Genomic DNA, 14896 nt, shown 5'->3' with positions numbered 1-14896 from the left:
TAGACAGAAGTTTTGTTTTTTGGAGTCTCCCTCTGTCTCCCAGACTGGAGTGCAGTGCTGCGACCTCAGCTCACTGCAATATCTGCCTCCCGTTTCAAGTGATTCTCCTGCCTCAGCCTCCCAAGTAGCTGGCATTCCAGGTACCTGCCACTACACCTGGCTAATTTTTGTATTTTTCTGTAGAGATGGGGGTTTCACCATGTTGCCCAGGATAGTCTCAAACTCCTGGCCTCAAGTGATCTGCCTGCCTTGGCCTCCTAAAGTGTTGGGATTACAGGTGTGAGCCACTGTGCCTGGCCAGTTCTTCATATTTTTCCTATCCACATGTGAATGGTTTCAGGGGTGGGAGTGCTTATAGATCCACACTGGAGTATTAAACAAGTGATTTTCTATATATATCTAAGAATGAATGCAGTGCTACCAACAGTTCTGGCAGCAATTTAACTGTGGAATAATGAACAACCAGATAAGCATCTTTCACTATACAGGGTGTGTTCTTCAAAAGCTGCCAGTAAAGTGATTTGTGTCAAGTGTTTTTCTCATCAATAATTGAGGAATCAATACCTTCAAAATGCATTCAATATGATTAAAAGAGAGTCATACTTCACAGAATTCTAGGAAGATGTGTGAGAGATGGCAGCCTAATTTTTGGATCCTCCCAAATCCACACAGAGACAAACAAAGCAATTACTTATTGAGGCCAGAAACCCAAGGAAAACATTTACCATGAGACAGGTGTCAAGGTAACTCCTTGATTCCCAAAACAGGATTATGCCAGAGATGCCACAAACAGCTAAGAGTTCTTTGTGTGACTGGTGTCTATGTGGAAGAGGCACATGGGAATGGAGGAAGGACTAAACAGATGCACCAGAGCCTTTGTGAAATCTCCCCACTGATCCTACCTATTATCTTGCCTCAAGGATGAAACCTGAGTCCAGTCTCCAGACACAGAGGCCAACTTGCAGGAACACAGAAGGATATGTGGAATCACACTGAAAGGGACTTTAAAAGACATCACGTTTAAAAGAAAATGAACAAGTGAAACTGATGTCCAAGGATCCAATCTTGGGCATGAAAAACTATCAAGAAATGCAAAGAATTGATTACAATGAAAAGTCACTTTGGAGGGAGGGTGGGGGCTGTGACTGATGAGACGTATGGAGGAACTTCTGGGGTGACTGGCAAAGTTTTCTTTGATGACTTTTGTGGTCCTTACACTTGTTCTATGTGGCTCTTTGTTCTGTGCTATATGTTACAATAAAGGTTAAAATACTTAAACATAAGATCTATTAATAATCTCAAAATAAAAAGAAAACTTAGAGCATCCTCTAAAATATGCTCATGCTTTTAAAATGAAAATAGAATATTTAAAAGCATATAATCTACTGATCATCTCTAAATATTAAAATATTCTAGCTCCTTGATGTTAGAACTATGGTGGCCACTGAAAGGCTGTTTCTCACTTCCATGAAAGTAAGGAGGGCACAGGTATGTGTGAGAGAGGATTTTCTTCCTATTCTTGTTCTCACTCTGTCCCACTGTCAGCCCAGTGAAATTCATCTATTGTTCTCCAAGAATTAGAAACAATTGTGTTAGTTACTCTGCGTAGTGTGTAAACAAGCTACTAGGGTAATTAAATTGTTTCCGAAATAAAGTTATCCCCTTCTACCTCCAGGCTGCACAACTCCATGGAAACCACTACAGGTTTGCTTTCTTTGGATGCTTTCTTGGTCCTCAGAGGCCCTTCAGGAGCTCATTCCTTTTCAACAGCTGCTAATTGATGAAGAAATATTTGCCTGTTCAGTCTATGCCAGAATAAAATGGCCAAGGGAGGAGCTAGCGAGGGCAAGACAGGAGGACTGGGTTGCTGGCTGTGGGCTCACAGAGGGAGGGAAGTAAGAGGGGAGTGCAAGTCAATCCTCCCATTGTTCTCAGATGGGGCAGTGGGTGGGAGAGACTGGAAATCACTACGACAGATTGCAGAGACCAGGCCATGCTCTTCCCCAGTACTTCCTTACCTTTGCCTGCTTCTGCATTTCCACTTTGAGGAGAAACATGTTCTTAAGTGAATGGCAGTCACCCTAAGGATGGCACCTGGATGATTTTACTTCTTTCTTCCTGTTGCTAAATTTAGTGAAAAAACTCCTTTGGAATGGGGGACAGGGAAAGGGAGATGGATGTCCGAACCAGTCAACCAGGTCCCCAAAGGGAAAAAAGCATATGGATAAGGAACAGAGAAAGTCTTGTACTCTCTGTGATCATCAGAACTTGCATACTTTTTCCTGCTGACAGAGTCAAAGTTAATTTTTATTAGCCTATGCAAGATTCTGATTCAAGTAAGACAATTTCTACACCACTTTGCCCACATTTTGTGTCTGTCTTTTCTTCTGTGTATTGGTAACTATTCAGATCCTACCAAAGCTCCCTAACCTGTTCCCCTAGGGTCTTCTCAGTCCTACCATCAAGTGCTCTCCTTCTCCTCTAAACCACAGCACTTTCCTGTAATATTCTTGTAGGTCTGGCTTAGGTTTTAAGTCATTTTGTTTGTGGCCTCTTGCACCAGGAGATTATCTTCTCATTGACATTAAAGACCCTATTACCCTCTGGATTCCCTGCGGCATCCCAAAGAGTTCCTGGTATATAGGTCACCAAAACATGTTTGTTGCTTATTTAGCTTATTTTACTCATATTCATTGCATGCCATGTTGAATGTTCTTTGGAACTAAAGAATTGTGAGAATGTAGGGGTTTACTCTAGCTTAACCCATTAGATCAAGCTTGTCCAACCCTCAAGCCACAGGCTGCATGTGGCACAGGATGGCTTTGAATACAGCCTAACTCAAATTTGTAAACTTTCTTAAAACAATGATTTTTTTTTTGCAATTTTTTTGGCTCATCAGCTATCATTAGTGTTAGTGTATTTCATGTGTGACCTAAGACAATTCTTATTCTTCCAATGTGGCCCAGGGAAGTCAAAAGATTGGACACCCATGCATTAGACTATAGATTACCTGAGAGTATGGGCTTACGTATCCAATGCTATATCATCCACATCTAGATTGGTGCTTGGTCCATGATGGACACTCAGTTAACATTAGTCCTATGAATGAATAAATGATCTATGTATGGGGTTTTCTTAAGGTATGAAAGCTTTGTTTTCAAAGATAAAATATTTATTTTGTATAAGAAAGATAAAAAACAAACACTGATTGGTGAGAATAATCCATAATTCAGACACGTTATTGATCAATAAATACCTGAAAAATAAGGTACCAAAAAAGTGAATTATAATGTGTATTCACATCTGACAATTATTGTGCATTTAGCAATAGGTCAGTACCATAGGGACAAAGGAATCTAAAAGGCCCCCTATAATCTAACTTAATCTAGCTGAGCTCATCTTGTTCTCAAATTGGACCTTCTGCTCCAGCTTATCTGGCCTGCTCCCCTATACTCTGAATACAGCTTGCTCATTCCTACATCTTTGCCTTTGGTGATACCATTTTCTGTTCATGGAAAAATGCTCTCATCCCGAAATCATATGCCTCCATTAAAATCCCTCCCTAGATAGCCCTTTTCTACACAGTGTTCCCTAGATAACACTACTCTTGAGGAATTTAGAGAGGTCTCACTTTGATAAGATCAAGGCACAGTCCAGGGCCTACCACGTTCTGACACAAATATGTGCTACCATGAAATCACTCTCTCACTGTCCCATACTTATTTATTATGCCCTGACAAATTAGATCATAAACTACTCTGGAGAGTAGGAATGGTGTTCATTATTCTCTCTGTTCCAAATTACCTGGTCATATAAGAGGTTAATAAATGGTCATATGCCTGCTATATTAGACCTAGGAAATTTCTTCCTAAAAAAACAAAAGTATTCAAAACAATTACTACAAAAGCAAGAGAAGAAGTTAATCTTTCCAATGCCTCTAACTTAAGTGCCTAGGTAATTATCATTCTCTTCAAGTTTACTTTCAATGGTTAGGAAGAGGTGCGAGAGAAAGAAGAGTGAGGAGACCATTAACTATTTTATGTTATAAGTACTACTCAAGAAGAAAAGAAGCAGATGTCCTTCATTTCCATAGAAGACAGAAACATAATAGGCTTCACACAGACCCAGAGAAAATTTGTCTGTATGTGGGGAGGAATTTTTCACTGTACAACTAACCACTGAAGTAGGCTACTTAAAGGAAATTCCTAAAAACAGTCTAGACAACCATGTGTTTCGGGTAGTTGGAACATTTCACTACTACAGGAACAATGGCTCTCTTGAGGCTCCTCCAGTGCCCTAGATCCATAATGAACAAATATCGTTGGAAAAATCTTACTTTCGGAAACTTGGATAGTCTTACTGGAGTGAAAGAAATAGATCTTACCATTTTTATCCACAAATAGCATAAAAATGTAACAATGATTGCAAGCAGATACTGAAGAAATAGAGATTACACTGCAGGCTTGTACAAGACACAAACTCAAAGGAAAAGAAAGCAAAAAGGCATCAAATGCAGAAGAAATTGTTCAGGCTTTCTCTTTTCTTGATCTGTACCTCTGAAGCTGGCATAAACCCTCATGTTTATTAGAAAATGTCCTGAACGTGGAATCTTGAAGCAGGGATTTGTATTCTAGTTACTAATGTGATTATTTAACCTCTCTGAACCTCTGTTTCTCTTCATTGGTAAGATGGGAATGATAATATTTCTCTACCTATATATGTGTGACCAGATGGGAATGATGATATTTCTCTACCTATATATGTGTGACCAGATAATATCATGAATATGGATATATTTACTAAAATAAAATGAGCTATTACTGAAATGTTTGATTATTATGAGAAATTAAGTAGGGAAAAGTAGAATATGATTAGAATAGCTTTTTATTATATTATTTTACCATAGCACAATTGATTTTTCATTTAATATTTGTTGAGCATCAGATGCCAAGGTTACAGAAATAAACAAAACAAATACTCCTACTGTTATTGAAGGAAAACAAACTCTTGTCAAATACGTATTTGTGCCTCAGTACAATACAGCTAACATTTTCTGAGTGTCTGCTAAATGACAAGTGCATGAATGTTTTTATATAAACTCTCAGAGCTTAATCTTTTTGCTTCAAGTATTTTCTGACATGGAAACAGCCAATTTTTCTTTTAAAAAGAGGGAAAATTGAGAATGCTTAGTAAAAGTTATATCATCAAATTAATAGAAATTGACTCCAATTTTACAACTTAAACTTTACAGTGCTTGAACTAAATCAATACAAATTGCATTCTTTTAGGAAACCTCAACACATGCCAGTGCTGCTTCCTTCAGGTTGATTCAACAGAAGTTTATTCCACCCAGATCCTATGTGCTGTGCCTGGATGTGCCTCTGGAGAGCATCGAACTATCTCTGTATATGGACAGGTTTTCACTCAATTTTTTAAATCCCAAAGCAGTGTCATGGAATTTTAGAATTAAAAAAAGGACCTTCAGGCTGGGCGCGGTGGCTCATGCCGGTAATCCCAGCACTTTGGGAGGCCGAGGTGGGCAGATTGCCTGAGGTCAGCAGTTGGAGGCCAGTCTGGCCAACATGGTGAAACCCTGTGTCTACTAAAAATACACAAAAATTAGCCGGGTGTGGTGGCATGCACCTGTAATCCCAGCTACTCGGGAGGCTGAGGCAGGGGAATTGTTTCAACTAGGGAGGTGAAGGTTGCAGTGAGCCAAGATGGTATTCCAGCGTGGGCGACAAAGCGAGACTCCATCTCAAAAACAAAATAAAGGACCTTAGAGGTTAAAATCTTTCACTCATTGTAGGAGTCTTCTACAATATGCCTGGAAAGTTTTTACCAGTCTTAAAGCTTGACTGCTTTCTATCATGTAAACATCTAAAATAGGCATCATATTCCTTTGCTAGGTAGCTCCAATAATTATTTTGCTCATAAAATATTAAGACAAAGTTTGTATCCCTGGAATACATTTAATGCCTCAATTTTGAAAAAGTCATTACTGTGCTCCATGAGTATTAGGTATAACTGGAAAATTGTTTATATTATTAGCTGGATATGATGTATTTTTAGACACTCAATAAAAATTGTACATAATGTGATTGCTTTAACACCTGAAATCATCATTAATGTTAGTAGTCTCCTCTGATCTCTGATACTATGTGTTAATACATTATTCACTAATTTATTTACTCAAATATTTTAAGTTCTTAGTATGTGTCGTGTAGGTTACCAGTCTATGAAAAAGATCAAAATTTAATTCTTATGTAATTATTATGTTTTACACAGCGGGTACTCTCTTGCCCCTTTTGCGGTGTCTCAGGGATGATTCTCCATGCCCAACATTCTTCCCTCTCCTTCCATGTCTTACCCCAGACGTATCTGGAGTTCATAAGCAGAGGACCACAGACCCTGGGCTAAGTAAAATAAACCCCTTACATGCACAGAAACTTTGGCCTGTAGGTTCGGTGGAATATCTTCCTACCAGAGGACCCTGGATTCCAAAGGTGTTAAGCTATCTCCTAACGTACCTGGTAGGATTCTTCGCTGGCACGCTGCTATTGCCCTTGGCTCTTACCTTCCTGAGCAGTGGTCCCTAACCCCCAGGCTGTGGAATGATACCGGTCTGTGGCCTGTTAGGAACTGGGCTGCACAGCAGGAGATAAGCGGCAGGCAAGTGAGCATTACCACCTGAGCTCCACCTCCTGTCACAACAGCCAGCATTAGATTCTCACAGGAACATGAACCCTATTGTGAATTGCGCATGTGAGGGATCTGGGTTGTGCACTCCTTATGAGTTTTGGGATGAAACTGCCCAAGATGAAACCAGTCTCTGGCGCCAAAAAGATTGGGAACAGCTCTTCCTGAAGATGGGACTTCCCAGTTGTGTTAGTCCATTTTGTATTGCTGTAAAGGAATACCTGATACTGGGTAACTTGTTAAGAAAAGAGGTTTATTTGGCTCACAGTTCTGCAGGCTATACAAGCATGGCACCACTAGCTGCTCAGCTACTGGTGAGACCTCTGGGAGTTTTTATTCATGGTAGAAGGCAAAGGGGAAGTAGCTGTGTCACATTGCAAAAGAAAAGGGAGGTCCCATGCTCTTAACCAGCTCTGATGTGAACTAATAGAGCAATAAATCACTCATTTCCATGGGGAGGGCAGCAAACCATTCATGAGAGATCTGCCCCCATAACCCAAACACCTCCCACTAGATCCCACCTCCAACACTGGGGGATCACGTGTCAACATGCGAGTTGGAAAAGACAAAATATTCAAATGATATCCCCAGTCCTCCTGCCTGTGCAATGCCTCCCATTATGGTCTTATTTGACCCTAGTGGTGCTCTCATTTGGCCTCTTGAGTTATTGTTGTACGTGTGTGTGCATATGCTTATCAGAGGGTAACTCCTCAAAGCAAGCCTGGGACTTACAGTCATTTCAATTTGCATCATGGCTATACTCTTTATATTCCAATTCCTAGATGAAAATCCCACAAAAGTAAAAACAACAAAGCTGGCCTCCATAGTCACCTTCCTTGCGGGAAATTAGTTATCTAAAATTCACAGGGAGGCATGTTTGGCATGTGATATAGAAAATATTCTTTTTAATGTAGCACTTTTGGTAGAAAAAACACCCACAGTTGGGATAAGCGTATTTATATGCCATGAAAAAAATACAACTTTCTGATAAAGATAACCTCTGAGATGGAACTTAACACATTTCTGGTTTGAACCTCCAGATTCAGTAGCTCAAACCCTGTCCAATTCAACTTGACTCAGTCATGCTGGGTTTTGGACCAAAAATACCAATAAGCTTCGTTAAAACATTCAAACCAAGCCCAAGCAGACAACCAAAACTCCTATTGAAGACTTTTTTTTTTCTTCAAATTCTTAAAGGCATTTTCATATGTAATATTTCTTATGCTTTGAAGAAATATGTTATCTACTTCATGTAATCATTTAAGAGATTGAGTAACTAGTATAATGAATGGAAAATTACTTTTCAATTATTTGGCTACATTTCTATAAAAGATCAAGTCTAATTCATTGGAAAATCGAATCTGTCCAGATAAGCCAAAGAATTAAACAAATAGAAGCTGTCCAAGAATTCTGAATTATTTCTGGAGAAACTTTCATGCAATTGCATCACTAAAACCACTCTTAGCACAAGTGGTAGGGAATGTGTTTCCAATGTAGTTTTAGTGGCAAAATAAGATCTGAACACAATTGCCTTAGATAACTTAAACAAAATAATCACAAATTCCATAATTAAGAATCTACTTATGGATCAAGACAAACGAGAGGCAGGACTAGATTGCAGCCACAGACACAGCAGCCTGTGGAGGCTTGCACTGTGAATTTTAGCTCCAGATGAACTGCAAGAACAAACCAGCAATCCTGAGAGGAACCACAGACCCCCTGAAGGAAGGCGGCTGCAGGGACCGGGCGACACCCCAAATACTTTGAGTGCTGCATCTTTGGGAGTAGAAAAAGGAGACCCTCCTTTGTGGGAAAGAGAGTTTCTGGGGTGCCAGTTGAGTTGGTCTTCCCTGTGTGAGACACCCATGGGAAGCCATGGGTGGCCTCTGAGGAGAAAAGTCTCCTTATTGCCTTCATGTCCTTAGGCCCCGAGAGCATAACGGCATTCCACAGGTTGCTCAGGGAGATAACACTCCCTTGAAGCAGTGGAGTATAATCAAACATCTAGGCTCCTCCTGAAACCCACTCCCACCTGTATCAGTCCCGATAAGTTAAAGATCTTAAGTAGTTTAGACACATGCCTTTGCTCAAGGAAATTCACAGAAACCACCACTGCTATACATCTTATCGAATGACTCACAAATTCTCCTTCACTGTTTAATCCTTTTCCTCATCCCTTCCTCCTCCTTCCATCTGCCCTAAGAACAAAGAGCTTGTAAACCAATAAATTGGGCAGAGCCCAAGAGCTCTGGGCCGTGAGCAAGCCTCCGATGCTCCGGTCCCCTGGACCCGCCTTTTGGATACTTATTCTGTCTCTAACTCCTTTGTCTCTTCTGGACTCGGGGTACCCACTGGGTGGTGTGGGGCTGGTTTCCCCAACATCCTTTCCCGAACACACATCCCTACTGTGGAAGCTGAACCTGGAAGATGGAAAGCCTCAGGCAAGTTTTCAAGCCCAACTTGCCCTCTGCCTAGAAATAGACTTGGGGATGTTGCAGGGGGCATGATGGAAGTGAGACCGGCCCTACAGTTTGTGCGGGAGCTGGGTGAGGCCTGTGACGGTCGACTTTCCCCCACTTCCCTGACAACCTGCATGACTCAGCAGAGGCAGCTATAATCCTCCTAGGTATACAACTTCAGTGACCTGGGACTCTCACCCCCATCCCCCACAGCAGCCACAGCAAGACCTGCCCAAGGAGAGTCTTGAGCTCAGACACACCTAGCCCTGCCCCCACCTGATGATCCTTCCCTACCCACCCTGGTAGCAGGAAGCCAAAGGGAGTACAATCTTGGGAGTTCTAAGGCATCGCCCACCAATGGTCCTTCTCCACACTACTACAGCTGATGCTTTCTGGAAAGCGCCACCTCCTGGCAGGAGGTCAACCCGCACAAAAAAAGAGCTTTCAGCCACCAAAGCTAAGAGCCCCCATGGAGTCCACTGCACCCTCTGGCACCTCCACTGGAACAGGCGCTGGTATCCATGGCTGAGAGACCCATAGATGGTTCACACCACAAGACTCTGTGCAGACAACCCCCAGTACCAGCCCATAACAGGGTAGACTCACTGGGTGGCTAGACCCAGAAGAGAGACAACAATCCCTGCAGTATGGCTCACAGGAAGCCACATCCACAGGAAAATGGGGAGAGTACTACATCAAGGGAAAACCCTGTGGCACAAAAAAATCAGAACAGCCTTCAGCCCTAGACCTTCCCTCTGATAGAGCCTATGCCAATGAGAAGGAACCAGAAAACCAACCCTGGTAATATGACAAAACAAGACTGGTCAACATGCCCCCAAAATCACCTAGTTCACCAGCAATGGATCTAAACCAAGAAGAAATCCCTGATTCACCTGAAAAAGAATTCAGGAGGTTAGTTAAGCTACTCAGGGAGGGACCAGAGAAAGGCAAAGCCTGGTGCAAGGAAATCCAAAAAATGATATAAGAAGTGAAGGGAAAAATATTAAAGGAAATAGACATCTCAAAGAAAAAACAATAAGAAATTCAGGAAACTTTAGACACACTTTTAGAAGCATGAAATGCCCTGAAAAGTCTCAGCAATAGAATTGAACAAGTAGAAGAAAGAAATTCAGAGCTCAAAGATAAGGTCTTTGAATAAACCCAATCCAACAAAGACAAAGACAAAAAGAATAAGAAAATGTGAACAAAGCCTCTACAAGTAAGAAAATATGAACAAATCCTGGGATTATGTTAAATGACCAAACCTAAAAATAATTGGTGTTCTTGAGGAATAATTCAATTCTAAAAGCTTGGAAAACATATTTGGAGAAATAATCGAGGAAAACTTCTCTGGCCTTGATAGAAACCTGGACAGATGCAAATACAAGAAGCACAAAGAACACCTGGGAAATTCATCACAAGAAGATCTTTGCCTAGGCACATGGCCATCAAGTTATCCAATGTTAAGACAAAGGAAAGAATCTTAAGAGCTATGAGACAGAAGCACCAGGTAACCTATAAAAGAAAACCTATCAGATTAACAGGAGATTTAGCAACAGAAACCCTACAAGCTAAAAGGGATTGGGCCCTTATCTTCAGCCTCCTCAAATAAAACAATTATTAGCCAAGAATTTTGTATCCAGTGAAACCAAGCATCATATATGAAGGAGAGATAGTTATTTTCAGACAAACAAATGCTGAGAGAGTTCACCATTACCAAGCCATCACTACAAGAACTGCTAAAAGGAGCTCTAACTCTTGAAACAAATCCTGGAAACACATCAAAACCAAATCTCTTTAAAGCATAAATTACACAAGACCTATACAACAAAAATACAAGTAAAAAAAAAAAAAAAACAAAAAACAAAGTACACAGGCAACAACGAGCATGATGAATGCAATAGTACCTCACATTTCAATACTAACATTAAATGTAAATGGCCTAAATGCTAAGTTTAAAAGATACAGAACCACAGAACGGATAAGAACTCACAAACCAACTATCTGCTGCCTTCAGGAGGCTCACCTAACACATAAGGGCTCACATAAACTTAAAGGGGTAGAAAAAGGCATTTCATGCAAAAAGACACCAAAAGCAAGCAGGGGTAGCTATTCTTATATCCGACAAAACAAACTTTAAAGCAACAGCGGTTAAAAGAGACAAAAAGGGACAGTATAGAATGGTAAAAGGCCTTGTCCAACAGGAAAATATCACAATCCTAAACATATATACAGCTAACACTGGAGCTCCCAATTTTATAAGTCAATTACTAATTGACCTAGGAAATGAGGTAGACAGCAACACAATAATAGTGGGGGACTTCAATACTCCACTGACAGCACTAGACAGGTCATCAAGACAGAAAGTCGACAAAGAAACAATGGATTTAAACTGTACCTTGGAACTAATGGACTTAACAGATACATACAGAAGATTTCATCCAACAACCACAGAATACACGTTCTATTCAGCAGTGCATGGAACTTTCTCCAAGATAGACCATATGATAGGCCATAAAATGAGCCTCAATACATTTAAGAAAACTGAAATTATATCAAGCACTCTCAGACCACAGTGGAATAAAACTGGAACTAAACTCCAAAAGGAACTTTCAAAACCACACAAATACATGGAAATTAAATAACCTGCTCCTGAATGAGCATTGGGTCAAAAATGAAATTGAGATAAAAATTAAGAAATTCATCAAACTCAATGACAATAATAATTATACAACCTATCAAAACCTCTGGGATACAGCTAAGGTGGTGTTAACAGGAAAGTTCATAACCCTAAACACCTGTAACAAAAACATTGAAAGAGCACACACAGACAATCTAAGGTCAGGCATCAAGGAACTAAAAAACAAGAACAAACCAAACCCAAACCCAGCAGAAGAAAGGAAATAACCAACATCAGAGCAGTACTAAATGCAATTGAAACAAATATACAAACAAAAATACAAAAGATAAATGAAAAAAAAAGCTGGTTATTTGGAAAGATAAATAAAATTGATGGACTATTAGCAAGATTAACCAAGAAAAAAAGAGAAAATCCAAATAACCTCACTGAGATACAAAACAGGAAATATTACAACTGACATGACTGAAGTACAAAAGATCATTCAAGGCTACTATGAACAACTTTATGTACATAAACTAGAAAATCTAGAAGAGATGGATAAATTCCTGGCAAAATACAACCCTCCTAGCCTAAATCAGGAAAAATTAGATACCCTGAACAGACTAATAACAAGTAGTGAGATTGAAATGATAATTAGAACGTTACCAACAAAAAAAGTCCAGGACCAGATGGATTCACAGCAGAATTCTACCAGACATTCAAGGAAGAATTGGTACCAATCCTTTTGACACTATTCCACAAGACAGAGAAAGAAGGCACCCTCCTTAATTCATTCTGTGAAGCCAGCATCACCCTAATACCAAAACCAGGAAAGGACACAAAAAAGAAAACTACAGACCTATATCCTTGATGAATATACATGCTAAAATCCTTAACAAAATACTTGCTAACCGAATCCAACAACCTATCAAAAAGATAATCCACCATGATCCAAGTGGGTTTCATACCAGGGATGCAGGGATAGTGTAACATACACAAGTCAAAAAATGTGATACATGACATAAACAGAATTAAAGACACAAATCACATGATCATCTCAATAGATGCAGAAAAAGCATTCAACAAAATCCAGCATCCCTTTATGATTAAAACCCTCACAAAATTGGTATACAAGGGAAATACCTTAATGTAATAAAAGCCATCTATGACAAACCCACAGCCAGCATAATTCTGAATGGGGAAAAGTTGAAAGTATTCCCTCTGAGAACTAGAACAAGACAGGGATGGCCACTCTCAGCACTCCTCTTCAACACAGTACTGGAAATCCTAGCCAGAGCAATCAGACAAGAGAAAGAAATAAAGGACATCTAAATAGTTAAAGAGGAAGTCAACCTGTCCTTGTTTGCTGATGATATGATCGTCTACCTTAAAAACCCTAAGGACTCCTCCAGAAAGCGCATACAACTGGTAAAGGAATTCAGCAAAGTTTGTGGATATGTGATTAATGTACACAAATCAGTAGCTCTTCTATACGCCAACAGCAACAAAATAGAGAATCAAATCAAGAACTCAACCCCTTTTACAATTGCTGCAAACAAACAAACAAACAAACCCTTAGGAATATACCTAACAAAAGAGTCAGAAGACCTCTGCAAGGAAAACTACTTAACACCGGTGAAAGAAAACACAGATGACACAAACAAATGGAAACACATCCCATGCTCCTGGATGTTAGAATCAATTTTGTGAAAATGAGCATACTGCCAAAAGCCATCTACAAATACAATGCAATTCCCATGAAAATACCACCATCATTCTTCAGAGCTAGAAAAAAGAATTCTAAAATTCATATGGAACTAAATAAGAGCCCACATAGCCAAAGCAAGACTAAGGAAAAAGAACAAATCTGGAGGCATCCCACTTCCTGATTTTAAACTATACTATAAGGCCATAGTCACCAAAACAGAGTGGTACTGGTATAAAAATAGGCACATATACCAATGGAACAGAATAGAGAACCCAGAAATAAACCCAAATACTTACAGCCAATTGATCTTCAACAAAGCAAACAAAAACATAAAGTGGGAAAAGGACACCGTTTGCAAGAAATGGTGCTGGGATAATTGGCTAGCCACATGTAGGAGAATGAAACTGGATCCTCATCTCTCATCTTATACAAAAATCAACTCAAGATGGATTAAGGACTTAAACCTAAGACCTGAAACTATAAAAATTCTAGACGATAACATTGGAAAAACCCTCCTATATATAGGATTTCATGACTAAAAACTCAAAAGCAATTACAATGAAAACAAAGATAAATAGCTGGGACCTAACTAAAATAAAGAGCTTCTGCATGGCAAAAAGAACAGTCAGCAGTCAATCCACAGAGTGGGAGAAAATGTTCACAATCTATACTTCTGACAAAGGACTAATATCCAGAATCTACAACAAACTCAAATCAGTAAGAAAAAAAAAATCTGATGAAAAAGTGGGCTAAAGACATAACTAGACAATTCTCAAAAGAAGATACACAAATGGCTGGCTGGGCGCGGTGGCTCATGCCTGTAATCCCAGCACTTTGGGAGGCTGAGGCAGGTGGATTGCTAGGTCAGGAGTTCAAGACCAGCCTGGTCAACATGGTGAAATCCTGTCTCTACTAAAAATACAAAAATTAACTGGGCATGGTGGCATGTGCCTGTAATCCCAGCTATTCGGGAGGCTGAGGCAGGAGAATCACTTGAACCCAGGAGGCGGAGGCTGCAGTCAGCCAAGATTGTGCCACTGCACTCCAGCCTGGGTGACAGAGTGAGACTCAGTCTCAAAAAAAAAAAAAAAAAAAAAAAAAAAGAAGAAGAAGAAGATATACAAATGGCTAACAAGCATATGACAAAATGCTCAACATTACTAATGATCAACGAAATGCAAATCAAAACCACAATGCGATACCACCTTACTCTTGCAAGAATGGCCATAATCAAATAAAAAAACAGTAGATGTTGGTGTCATTGCGGTGATCAGGGAACACTTCTACACTGTTGGTGGGAATGTAAACTAGTACAGCTGCTATGGAAAATAGTGTGGAGATTCCTGAAAGAACTAAAAGTAGAATTACCATTTGATCCAGCAATCTCACTACTGGGTATCTACCCAAAGG

The 14896-nt window shown here is 39.9% G+C and overlaps 1 protein-coding gene across 7 annotated transcripts in view, besides 1 other annotated feature; it reads right to left on the bottom strand.

Moving 5' to 3' along the window:
* UNC13C (unc-13 homolog C) overlaps positions 1 to 14896 on the bottom strand; it is a 795839-nt gene that overhangs the window by 29562 nt on the left and 751381 nt on the right. The window lies entirely within an intron of this gene.
* Positions 8706 to 9905: an enhancer, noted in NCBI's record as "MED14-independent group 3 enhancer chr15:54886172-54887371 (GRCh37/hg19 assembly coordinates)". NCBI's record gives its function as "activates an origin of replication core promoter dependent on BRD2, BRD4, P300/CBP and CDK7 cofactors, and independent of MED14, by STARR-seq in HCT116 cells {active_cell/tissue: HCT116}" and the evidence as "EXISTENCE:reporter gene assay evidence [ECO:0000049][PMID:35650434]".

The sequence above is a fragment of the Homo sapiens genome, chromosome 15 (genome assembly GCF_000001405.40).
Source record: "Homo sapiens chromosome 15, GRCh38.p14 Primary Assembly".
Classification (NCBI taxonomy): Eukaryota; Metazoa; Chordata; class Mammalia; order Primates; family Hominidae; genus Homo; species Homo sapiens.
The sequence above is the reverse complement of the archived record's forward strand: the minus strand, read 5'-3'. Positions and strand labels throughout refer to the sequence as shown.